The following is a 13,491-nucleotide window of genomic DNA, read 5'->3' as shown; positions in this document are numbered from 1 at the left end:
TGATTTAGTCCATTCTGGGTTTGGGTAATAAAATGCAAGTTCACGAATTTTATTTTTTTTGTTTTATTATTATCATTATTTTGAGACAGTCTTTCTGTGTCATCCAGACTGGAGTGCAGTGGTGTGATCTCGGCTCACTGCAGCCTCTGCCTCCCAGGTTCAAGAAATTCTCCTGCCTCAGCCTCCCAAGTAGCTGGGATTATAGGCATGCGCCATCATGCCTGGCTAATTTTTTTGTATTTTTAATAGAGACAGGGTTTCACCATGTTGGCCAGGTTCATCTTGAACTCCTGACCACAAGTGATCTGCCCACCTTGACCTCCCAAACTGCTGGGATTACAGGTGTGAGCTACCGCATTCTGCAAAGTTCATGATTTTTTAAATAAATGAGAACACTTGTTTATTACTGAAAACTCAAAGTTTGTAGATAATAAATTACAAAGCTTCAATAATTTCTGTTCCCAGAAATCACCACCATGAGCTGTTTAGTGTCTGCCTCCTTAACTTCCCACCCCTTCCATATCAATGAGACCAGGTAAGGTGTGCAATTTGGAGTCCTGTGTTTGTCTCTCGTTATTGATATCCTCAGGACTTCTTGTGTTATTAAGAATTCTTATGTTATTTTAAAAACATTTTTGTGTAGGTAACAGAGAGAAGACAATATGAACGTTACAAGGCCCCAACCCTCCAGGGAGCTTGCAAGATTGCTGGGGATAACATGTGAATTCCTCCAAGAAAAAGAGGCAAGTGTGCAATGCAAGTGTGTGGAATGGGATAAGGGGATTTTGATGAGGATGCTCTTATTCTTAAAAGGAAGTTCAAGAAGGGTACCAGACCGAATATATAAGCAGCTGGCTCTCAAAGACTGAGTAGGAGTAGACACAAGGCATATTCGATGGAGCCACAGCACCTGTGTGGCAGAGTGTGTTTCTCACATGCGGCCACAACAATATATCTATCACTCATGTTCTTTCTTCAAAGTGACTTTGACACTCGTCCCATTGAGAGGTAGAGTCTAGGTCTCCTTTGGCACTTGGAATCGAGAGAGCTTTTGTGACTCTCCTGGCCATAAGAGTAAGACAGAGATGACCTTATTGACTTCCAAGTCTAGGTAATTAAAAACCAACTCAGCTTCTACCTTCCTGCTGGAACACTCATGAGTGGTGCCCTGAGACGCCACATAAGCAGTCTGACGGCCCTGAGGCCACCATGCTAGAAGGGAGCCCACATCATCCCATGTTGGGAAACCACATGGAGCAGTCCCGAAACCACATGAACCGACAATGCTGTCCAGCTAGCCCTCAGCCTCTCTAGCCCTCTGATCCCCCAACCTGTTCCAACTCCAGCCAAGAGACTGAGCCAGAACCACCTGCCCAGCTCTTCCTAAGTTCCAGACCTACAGAAACTATGAGAGAGTAAAGTAATTGTTATTGTTTTGAGCCACTACATTTAGAGGGGATAAGCGAGCAGAAACTACATGAGAACATGTGGAAGGATGTGGGGCATCATGATTCTACTCCTTCCCCATCAACAGACCCTGAGAACAGCCCACCTGCCGTCTTTGGCATGAGTGGTTTGCACAAAACTGAGTTGCCATGGAAAGATGTGAGCTGGTGGGCAAGGGGCTAATTGTAGGTGTGTGGCCTGGTGCTGACACGTATTGACTGAGTTTTTAATATTTTTAGCACTACTCAAGTATAAAAGGAGGCCTATGACAAACGCAGCATCAATCTTTGTATATCATAGCCTAAGAATCTAACACAGACTGAAGTGTGGAAACTAGAAAGAACGGGAAGTTGTTGGGTGCAGGCCAGCAAATGATGAGAGTGATGCATCTTGGGAGGGATGCCTGCTATATTGAATGAGACCTTCCAAGGATGGCTGGAGGCTGTCATTTGATTTTTTTAATTGAAAAGTGAAATTGTATGTATTCATTGTGCATAGAATGATGTTTTGAAGTGTATCTGTATTGTGCAATGATTAACTCTAGCTAATTAACAAATGCATTATTTGGGGGGTGAGAACACTTAACATCCACTCTCTTTGTGTTTTTTAAGAATGCTGTATATCACCATTAACTATAGTCATCATGCTGTACAATCGATCGCTTTAACTGATTCCTCCTGCCTAACTGTAATTATGATTTTAAAGGATCAAACCTCCCTGGGTTGTGAGTTTGGCCCTTTTCCTGCTTTAGAACTCCTGTAAAAATCTGTGTTGTGGCTGGGCGCGGTGGTTCACGCCTGTAATCCCAGCACTTTGGGAGGCCAAAGAGGGCGGATCACGAGGTCAGGAGATCAAGGCCATCCTGGCTAACACGGTGAAACCCTGTCTCTACTAAAAATAGCAAAAATTATCCCGGCGTGGTGGTGGGCATCTGTAGTCCCAGCTACTCAGGAGACTGAGGCAGGAGAATGGCATGAACCCGGGAGGCGGAGCTTGCTGTGAGCTGAGATCGTGCCACTGCACTCCAGCGTGGGCGATAGAGCGAGACTCTACCTCAAAAAAAAAAAAAAAAAAATCTGAGTTGTGGGGGCATGTTTGGAGTAGCATTATAATTTTTTTCAATTATAAAACAATTCTTGTTGACTTTTAGAAATTCCTAAAATATTTAAAAAATGAATAAGAAACCAAACATTATCAATAATCCTATCACCCATGGTTACCATTTTTATGTACTTGTTTCCAGCATCTTTCAGTGTTTATACATACATTAATACATATCTACTTAGAGTAATGCATGTTTTCAATATTCAGAGGAAAAAATACTTCCATAACATTCAGTCTAACACACTAGCATTTGCTCAGTAAGTATGTAAATGCACAGATAAATATGATTACTTATCTATAATGGAAACAGTTTTATAAGAGTTCTATTGTCTATATAAGCTATGATTTTCCTTTTTTTCACTTCACATTATGTCATAAGCATTTATGAAGTGAGATCATGCAGGGATAAAGGATGGAACCTCAGCGCCTTTCATCTCTGACTTGAGTTCTGACTCTGCCTCCATGCCCTTTAGTTACTATCTGAACCATGGGGCAGGACAGGTTTCTAACAGGCCTTGTGCCCTGGGACATGCCACCCATCTCTGTGCTGTGGGAAATTCTTTTGATGCAATGATAGCCTCCAAGTAACTTTGAGGCAGCTGCCCCAGAGGTCATAAAACAGAGTGGCTTTTAAAAACACAGTAAGAAGCAACAGAAAAGTGATGGGGTAAGTTTCACGCTCCAGATGGAGCACCAGCGGGATGAATGCACCCAGTTACTGTATTCCTATGTTTGCTCCTTCATTTTCCTGCTGATGGGGAGTGACAAGGACCAGAGGGAGGCTCAGGAGATGGAGGGGCCTGTGTGTCAGGCCAGCAGCTATAGCTCCCAGTGACCTGCAACCAGTCATGACTCCTGTCTGTGTGTTTTGGGTGACAGACACACGGAGCCAGAAAGTCTGTCACCAGTGGGTGGCTGGGTTCAGTTTCAGATCTCATAAATGCTGGTTACCTCTCTGGCCCTCCCATCCCTTTCTGTCACTTGGGAGCACACACACACACGATCAGCTTGAGTCACTGAAGTCTTTGTGACTTGCAGGCCACCTGCTTCTGCACTTAGATTTATCTGTCACCCTTATTTGATTATTTATCTTATTTTCTAGAGCAAAGTTGAGTATTCTCAAATAACACAGAAAATACATGTCATAGTAGGAAAATGGCCAACTTCTGGATCCCAAGCACACTGACAAGTCAGAGCGGAGTAGATGAGGGTTGGTTGTCTCTCACCTACTTAAGGGAACTTCGAAGTCAGAGAGTGAAGGAGTGCAGGGACGTCAACAGCACTGCAGCCAATCATGAGGTGGCATCTCCTGGGCTGGGGATTTCTGTGAACTCGTGAGGCCAGGGCAAGAAGAAGCCATTTGGGGCATTATTAATCTGTTTTAAATCTTGATAATGGAGATCTTTATTATTTTTAAAGCCTGGCTTGATGACATTTAATTACAAAAAAACTCATTGGACTTCTCTCTTAAAAAAGGCTTATACCAACTTGTCCACCAAATCTCTGTTCTGAAGACTTCTAGTGCATCCAAACTAAGGTTGTTCAACTTTTGAGACACACGTCTTTTAGAGATGACCAACTAGTCCTAATTATAAAGAAAAAAGACCTGACCTCAAACTTACTCCTATATTTGAACTTTACATTTCAACAATTAAAGGAAATATGCAATTCTTCCTTTCCTATTTTTTATCTTTATTTTTTTTTTTGCTAGTGCACCTGGTTTAAGTTAGGTTAACACTCAAAGGCCAAGTAATCCTGTTACGCACCAGGACATTTTCAGATTCATGCTTAACTCAAAGTTTAGGAGGCCTGGGTAATGAGAATGACATCAAAATCATCATCACCCATTAATGAGCATCCAAAAAGTAAAGAAAAGAAAAGAAAGGAAAGAAAAATCAAACTGCTTAAGAGAAGAGGCTGGAGTCAGGAGTTATAGAATCATAGAATGTCCAGGGGACTCTGTGCTGTTCAAGAAGAAGGATGGTGTGGGAGGAACCTGTGGCGGGGTGCTTGTAGACCTGGAGGGCAGGGAAGACATGCAGCTCTGCAATTAAGATTTCTGCCAACATGAAGAAGTAGCCAGCTTGACTTTTGTCCAGACGGTTACATGAGGAATGCTGTTCCTGTCTGCTCCGCCATGACCATGCTAGCCAACCCAACCCTGGCGGGCGTGCTGAAGCCACTGTGGGCCTCGGCTTCATCAGCAGTGAACGCTAAATACAGTCCTAATGGAAACCTCTGAACTTGACTCAAATTCAGTATTTCCATGAGGGCTCTGGTTCGAACACCAAAAAGCATCCATAATTCAATTCAGACACCACAATTAAATTTTTGATATTTTGGCAGAGGGCTGTATTAGGCCACACTTGCATTGCTATAAAGAAACACCTGAGACTGAGTAATTTATAAAGAGAAGAAGTTTAATTGGCCTACAGTTCTGCAGGCTGTTCAGCAAGCATAGTGCTGGAATCTGTTCAGCGCCTAGAGAGGCCTCAGAAAACTTATCATCATGGAGGAAGGTGAAGGGGAACAGGCACTTCACATGGCAAAAGCAGGAGTAAGAGGGTGGGCGGGGAGGTGCCACACACTTTTTAAATTACCAGATCTTGAGAGAACTATCGTGAAGACAGCACTAAGCCATGAGGGATACGCCCCCATGATGCAAACACCTCCTACCAGACCCCCCCTCCAGCACTAAGGATTACAATTCAAAATGAGATTTGAGCGGGAACAAGTATCCAACCTATATCAAGGACTGTACTGAATTTAATTAAGTGAGAAAGTTTGTTGAATAATTTAAAGAGGCCACATAAACAACATCAGAGAGCGAGTATCTTTCAGGCTTGGAGATGCACTGTCTGTAGACAGTTTGCTGTTCACAGATGGTTCTTAGCCACTCCTGAATGTGACTGTGGTGGGTTACTGCTGTGTGTGATGCATAAAGTCCTAGAAACTGCATATATCCAAGAGAAGCAAAGCTGCATTGTCTGAAACAAATTTTGTAACTCAAACTTTCTACTAAATTAAACCAAGTGTTATGATTCAAAAGAAGAATTTTCTCTGTGTATTGGTTTAACATATAGTTGTAGGTATTGCAGAATTCAGAAATTCGTCTTTGGAGTGTTCTGACATTCACTGGTATTTATCACTTCTTTTCCCTCTATATTCATTTAAGAATCTAAGACTTCATTGTCTTAGACTAGGTCCCCTCCTAGAGGCAAAACCCAAAATGGAGATGTGGATGAATATGGCTTATTTGGGAGGTGGTCCCAAGAAGCACTAGGATGAGCATGGGGAAAAGGACACAGAAGACAAGGGAGCGCCATTGCTCCAGTCATGACTATGGACACTCAGGATGCTAAGGAAAATGGCACAGGACATGGGTTGTCTCATTGAGGGGAGAAGAGGCTCAGGTGTCTACCCACCAGCTTCCACCCTCATTACTTGAGGCTGTGTCATTGCCATCTGTTTTGATATAGAGGATTCTTATCCATTCTACTCAGGATTTCCTTTAGTGGAATGAAAGGAGGGAAAACAAAAGTGTGTTTTGTTATACTCTGCCTGTGTTTCCATAGCTGTATAATAATGCCTAGACTGCGGGGCTATTTGGAGTTGCATTAATACTTTTAGTATTTTGAGACACTCCTTTTCCCAAAAGTTTCCTCAGTGGTAAAAAAGACAGAAAATATAAAGGTAGACTAAAAGCTTGTAATGATTTTACTGCACCAGAAAAAGAAGTTCAAACCCAAACTATGATGTCCAACATCCATTTTTAAAGTCTGAAATCAATTCCACAAGCAGAGAATGGGGAATGCAGGTACGAAAGGGTCTTTGGACTTGAGCAGACCACGAGCTTCATAGAGGCTGTCTCTGCAGCTGTTAAAGTGTTGCAGATTTTAGGAGGGAAGTTGATTCTCCTCTAGGGAAAGTACTTGTCTAAATGGTTTCTCTTGCTCAGGTGGTATTGAAAGTCAGGGGCAGGGATGGGTGGCGCCTTTTGAGAGACACGTTCACAAAATAAACTAACGAGCAGTCTAAGAAGCAGATCACACAGAGAATGACCAAAGAAACAGAAAATATTGTTCTCAGAAAATCTAATATTCATGGGAGTTATGAAAAGTCTAGTTATCAGAAGCACTGTCTTGTGCAAAGGTGTCTCTGGGTTTTGTGCAGCTCCAGAAGGTAAAACAAGGACGCACAGGTGAGTGTTATGAGTATGGGTCTAGCAGGAAAGGGCTCTAACTCCAGGACTGCCTGACAAGAAGTGAGATCCTTGAAGTTTCTGAAACTTCTGGTCTGTTCCTGCTGCAAACCAGTGTAGATATTCTAAACATGGAAGCTCAGAAAAGTCCATTTTTTTAAAGAGAGACAGGTCTTTCTCTGTTGCCAAGGCTGGAGTGCAATGGCACAATTAGGGCTCACTGCAGCCTCAAACTCCTGGGCTCAAGCTATCCTCCTGCCTCAGCCTCCCCAGGTAGCTGGAAACCACAGGTGCACATCACCACAACTGGCTACTTTTTTATTTTTATTTTTGTACAGACAAGCTCTCACAGTGTTGCTCAGGCTGGTCTTGAACTCCTGGCCTCAAGTGATCTTCCTGCCTCGGCCCCCCAAAGTGCTGGAATTGCAGGCATGAACCACCATACCTGACAAAAGGTGATTCTTCAGCATGTTTTATTTTTTTGTTTTGTTGCATAAAAGTGGGTAGGGAGTAGGGGAAACTAGTGGAAATCTCTGCAGAGAGAAATTGCCTTTCCTCAAGATATGGCTCCTATACTTAATATTTCTATTTCATACTCAATGTCAGTCTTTCCAGAGGAGTGTAGAGCTTATGCATTCCAACAGGTGCCAATCATGAAAGCATAAAATTGGAGGATGTGGTGGCATCTCAGAGCCAGCTTAAATGCAATGGGAATAGCTTGTGGTTGCTGCTGCGGGCCCGGGTCTCCTTCCAATTCACCTTATGGAAGCCTTTTGTGAAGGGCTGTCCATCTGTTTTATCCTAGGTCCCAGGGAGTTCTGGCAAGGTGGCCCAGATGGAAAACAACTAGGAAGTGGTGGCTTAGCTTCTCATCTGGCAAAATGACAGATTGCAATCATCCCAGTTCTCACACTTGGCAGCCTTGAAAGCCAGCAACCCTTCCTTGGAGTCATGCAGAGTCACAACACGAGTGGCCACTCACAGCTCAGAAGACAGTGTGTTGTAGCAGGCCTTTGTTTATGGAAGTCACTTGGTCTGGGCACTTGGGATTTCATCGGCTTTGGCCAAATGATTTTTTAATGTGCAGGGAGAGGTGGGCTGAGGACAAAGGAAAGTTAAAAAGAAACCAAAGCTGCATGGTGTTGGGTTGCAGGGATGAGGAGTAGGGATGTTTAAGGGCTGAGGGTGAGAGGAGAGTGTTCCAGGCCTTGCTTTGGAGGATCTGTCTGTGAGAGGCTCTGCGGCAGGAGAAAGTGTGACTGGAAGAAAAATTGTTCAGAGTGGCTGAGGTCCAGATGGAGGTGCAGGGCAGTGAGACAGGCAGGAGAAGTGTGGTAGCCAGGCTTCTGGGGATCATAAACTCTTTAAGAATTCAGATGGTGTAGATATGAAGATGCTGGGACATTCTCTAATGCTCAAGCTTAAAGATTCTTTAGCTCAGGGTGAAAAATTCAAGTCAAGAAAATTTTGTTTTTTCTCTGTAGTGTGAGTGAGTTATGTCTGGCTCCGTGAACTGTGCATGCGTGTTTATGCATGTGTGTGTATGCATATGCATGTGTTTGTATGTCTGTATGTGTGTGTGTTGGGGATGGAGAGGAAATAAGAGGCTCTTAGGGTAGAGGAAAAATAATTGATTGAGGGTTCAGGAGAGAGCACACCAATGTCACCCTATCACATCTTTTTTTTCCTTCCTGATAAGTCTTTTTGTTTCCACCGAAGAAACTATTTGCAATCTCTATGAGCCTCCATCACGAAGATGTCAGGGGTCCTCTGTCCTCAGCCTTTCCCCTGAGGATTACTTGGGACAGAAAAAGCAGCAAGGGTGAGTGTGGATACCAGTGGACATTGTCCTCTGGCTCCCTGAGGGCCAGACAAGAGAGGCTGGGTGCTGGATCTGGCTACTCCCTGCAAGCCGTGGAAGTGCTCTCAGAAGTTTTAATGCAGGAGGGATTGGAACCATGCGACTCCAACGTCCTGTCTGCCCAAGGGGAGTGTGCCCAGCCTTCTGAGCAGAGAAACTTTCAGAGAAAGAACTTAAACAGTGGGTCTCATGCAAGTGATAGAGAACAATCTTGGATTTCTGGATTCCAGCCGGCTAAATTATTTCTCCAAATCCTCGACAACTTAATGGGTGACCTGATGTATTCTAGAAAAAAAGCCACTGAGCTAAAAAGTGCCTGGGCTTTGGTGGGTGGTGGGTACCTTTTGACCCCAGGTGAAGTGGGCTTGTAGAGAGGGTATGATATGAACAGTCAGTGCAAGAATATACCTGGGCTTCAGTAGTTGGGTTCTGTGACTTCAGTGGGAAGGTGGCATTGAGCTGCCTGTGTAGGCCATTGTAAGTGGAAGACAGCTCTCCAAGCCTCGCACTGGGCTGTCTCTGACTTTTGGTTTCCTGATTCTGCCCCCACCCAATGATGAGCACTGAATCAGATCTTTTCAAATGATTTTTAAACTGTGGTGTATTTGATACACATAATCACAGCATGTACATATGTATCATAAAGTACAGAAATAAAATAGAAATTAACATGCCCACCACCCAGTTTAAGAAACAGATCACTTGTTCCCAGATATTCCACCTGGGCCCCATCACTGCCCGCCCCCACCCCCAGAAGTAGCCACTGCCCTGAAGTAGTTGTCCTTTTATTATCAATAGGCATTTGGGTTCTTTCCAGGGTTTTTGCTATAAGAAAAACACTGTGGTAAAGATTCTTAGACACACATCACAGAGCAAATGGACCAGAGTCACCAGTATATACCACCAGGTCTGAAAATTGCTTTATGGAAGGGCATGTGCAGCTTAAACTTCCTAGATAATGCCACGTTTTCATGATTTGTACTTCAACCAGTAATTTATAACTGTTCCATATTGCTCCATGGCCTTGCCAGGCACTGGGTGTGATCAAATCTCTTAACTTTTGCCAACAAGTGTGTGTGCAATGAAATTTACTCTTGTGTTTCTCTGGTAACTAATGAGGTTGCGCGTTTTTAATGTTTCTTGTCCACTGTGTTTTTTTTTAATCTGTGAAACGCCAGTCCATATCTTTTGCTGTTTTTCTCCCTTGAGGCTTTCTTTTCTTGATATTGATCTGAGAAGCTCGTGGGCTCTCTCTCTCTCTCTCTCCCTCTCTCTCTCTCTACCCCCCCCACCCCCAATCTGTTTCCATTGACCTGTGTGGCACACATTTTTCCACTTTCTGTTAATGAAGAGAGAAGTTCTCAGTTTTAAAGCAGCTGAATGTGTCACTGTTTTCCTCATGGTTTATATTTCTATATTTTCTTGAGAAAATCTTTGCTGACCCTGAACTCCCAAGGATACACTCTTCTATGTACTTCTAAACATGTAACATTTGCCTTATATATTGAAGCCTGTAATCCACTAAGGTGCATGGTGTGAAACAAGTGTGCATGCTTGCTCTTTGTTTAGATATGAAATTGCCCCATCCTGTTTCTGTGGATCAGAATCTCAGCTTTTCCTTATGTTCCATGGCTTGATATTTTTTTCTCTATATATACTGAAATCTCACTCTTATTACCATACGTTTATAATATTTTGATATCTGGAAACGCATCTCTTCCCACTTAGTTCTCTATCTGCAAGAGCCACGCCAACACTTGCTGCTGTTAAAACAAAGTGCAGGCCTCCTGGAAAGGTAGACTTCCCAACTCAGCTGACAGCTTTTGCACTTGTTTATCTCCTGGGATTCCTGCTGTCACTTGATTCTTGACACCAGGGTATTTATCTTACCTTCTCGTAAGAGCTGCCATGCATTTAAAAGTATTTGTTAAAATATTTTTCCAGCATTTATGCACATTTTATTCCAGATGAGTTTAGTCAACCATTGGCAGAAACCTCGATTGATTCTTAAATCACCACTACCAGCTGATAGCAGATGCACTTGAGGAATGCTCCTTTGGAACAACACAATTAATTCTGCTGTTCTCATGCTGGACCTGGCAACACATGGTACAATAAATGTTTTATGAGTTTTCTAGTTGGCTTTAGTGATAAAGTGAAATTTTAAATGCCTGGAGAGAGTCCAGGATATTTTAGCCAAGAATGCTTCATTCTTCTTTTTGTCACCTCTTCTAGCTTTGAGTCAGTCCAAGCTCTAAGGAAGGTAGAAGATTTCCCCAGAACTAAGTGAGATGACCTGGGAGAGAAAATGGTGGGATGCCTCCTAATGCTTGGCCATACAAACGTGTTCACTAGACTCTCAAATTGCCTCCAACCCTGCGGGGGAAGTTGTCTCATCAATCTGCATACAATCTACCTGTCCACAGGTAGGGTGATTGACTTTGTTGTTGAGATATGACTTGATCTCCGAGCACCACTGAATACCTGGTCAGCCAATGCAACCACTCACCAGTGATTAGAGCAGCTTGCTCAGCACTGGGGAACACATCGTCAGTCTGTAACCCAAGAGGCACCCAGCACATTCTCTTAAAACTGCTTGACAGTGCCCAGATGGCACAAGCCTCTTGCTTAGGTCAATCCTGGCTTTTGCGTTTGGTTGCCATTATCTCCTTCTAGACCCACGAAGCTGGTTTCCATAGGTAATGAAAACTGTAGCAGAGCCATCAAGTGTCAAGACAGGTCTACACAGCCTCCCAAGGCCCTGGACACCTGCTCAGAAGCCTCACCCTAGACTTTCCCGAGTTCCTGAAAACTAGCTGCCTTGTGGGCTTTTTCCACATTGCTGAAGGATTTTATAAGAAAATATGTTTTACAGAGGTTTGCAATCCTATTTTCTGACAAAATAGACTTTAAACCAACAAAGATAAAAGAAGACAAAGATGGGAGTTACATAATGGTAAAGGGTTCAACTGAACAAGAACTAACTTTCCTAAATATGTATGCTCCCAACACAGGAGCACTCAGATTCATAAAGCAAGTTGTTAGAGACCTTCACAGAGAATTAGACTCCCACACAATAATAGTAGGAGACTGTAACACCCCACTGACAATATTAGACCGATCATCGAGACAGAAAATCAACAGAGATAGTCAGGACTTGAACTCAGCTCTGGATCAAGTGGACCTGATAGACATCTACAGAACTCTCCACTCCAAATCAACAGAAATACATTCTTCTCATTGCCACATGGCAGTTACTCTAAAATTGATCACATAATTGGAAATGAAACACTCCTCAGCAAATGCAAAAGAACTGAAATTATAACAAATAGTCTCTCAGACCACAGCACAGTCAAACTGGAAATCAAGACAAAGAAATTCACTCAAAACCATACAATTACATGGAAATTGAATAACCTGCTCCTGAATGACTTATGGGTAAATAATGAAATTAAGGGAGACATCAAGAAGTTCTTTGAGATGAATGAGAATAATGATACAACACCAGAATCTCTGGGATGCAACTAAGGCAGTGTTAAGAGGGAAATTTATAGTACTAAATGCCCACATCAAAAAGCTAGGGAGTTCTCAAATCAACACCCTAACATCAGAACTAAAAGAACTAGAGAACCAAGAGCAAACAAACCTCAGAGCTAGCAGAAGACAAGAAATAACCAAGCTCAGAGAAGAACTGAAGAAAATAGAAACAACAACAACAACAACAACAACAACAACAACAAAACAACATTCAAAATATGAATGAATCCAAGAGCTGGCGTTTTGGATAAAATAATAAAATAGATTGACCACCAGCTAGACTAATAAGGAAGAAAAGATAGAAGATTGAAATAAACACAGATACATGGGGGGATTATTACCACTGACTCCAGAGAAATATGAACAATCATCAGAAAATATTATAAACACCTCTCTGTACATAAACTAGAAAACCTACAAGAAATGGATAAATTCCTTGACACATACACCCTCTCAAGACTGAACCAGGAAGAAATTGAACACCTGAGCATCCTGGTGGGAAAGAAGTCTTAACAGAAGAAGTCTTAAAGGAAGAAGCTGGAGGTGACGCTACTGCAAACTTTGAGGATGTTGGGCACTCTACAGATGCTAGGGAATTGTCCAAAACATATATCATTGAGGAGTTCCATCCAGATGATAAACTTAAGTTAAGCAAGCTTTCAGAAACTTTTATCGCTACTGTTGTTTCTAGTTCCAGCTGGTGGACCAACTGGGTGATCCCTGCCATCTCAACAGTGGCCGTTGCCTTGATGTATTGCCTGTACATGGCAGAAGACTAAACAACTCCTCAGAAGCCAGTGCAGGAAAAGCCTGCTTTGGACACAGGAGAAAAGAAGCCAATGCTAACTACTTCAACAGACAGAAACCTTCACTTGAAAAAATAGTTTTCATGTCTCTTTCTCTTTCTTCAGGCATTAGAAACAAAACAAAAATAACTGTCCTTTCTGCTGTTGAATTTTTCAAGTATGCCTTTTTATTCATCTACTTTATTTTGATGTTTCCTTACTATGTAATTTGCTTATTATAAGCATGATCTTTTAAAAATATATCTGACTTTTAGAGTAAAAAAAAAAATAACAAGTTCTGAAATGATAAATAGCCTACCAACCAAAAAAAAAAAAAAAAAAAAAAGGCCAGGACCAGATGGTTTCACAGCTGAATTCTACCAGATGTATAAAGAAAAGCTGGTACTATTTCTACTGAAACTATTCCAAAAAAATTGAAAAAGAGGGACTCCTCCTTAACTCATTCTATAAAGCCAGCATCATCCTGATACCAAAGCCTGGCAGAGACACAACAAAAAAAGAAAACTTCAGGCCAATAACCCTGATGAACATTGATG

General features: G+C 42.4%; 1 pseudogene; it reads left to right on the top strand.

Moving 5' to 3' along the window:
- Nucleotides 12,635-13,213, top strand: CYB5AP4 (cytochrome b5 type A pseudogene 4; annotated as a pseudogene).

This window comes from Homo sapiens, chromosome 20 (assembly GCF_000001405.40).
Source record: "Homo sapiens chromosome 20, GRCh38.p14 Primary Assembly".
NCBI lineage: Eukaryota > Metazoa > Chordata > Mammalia > Primates > Hominidae > Homo > Homo sapiens.
This window is presented reverse-complemented; position numbering and strand designations above follow the sequence as displayed.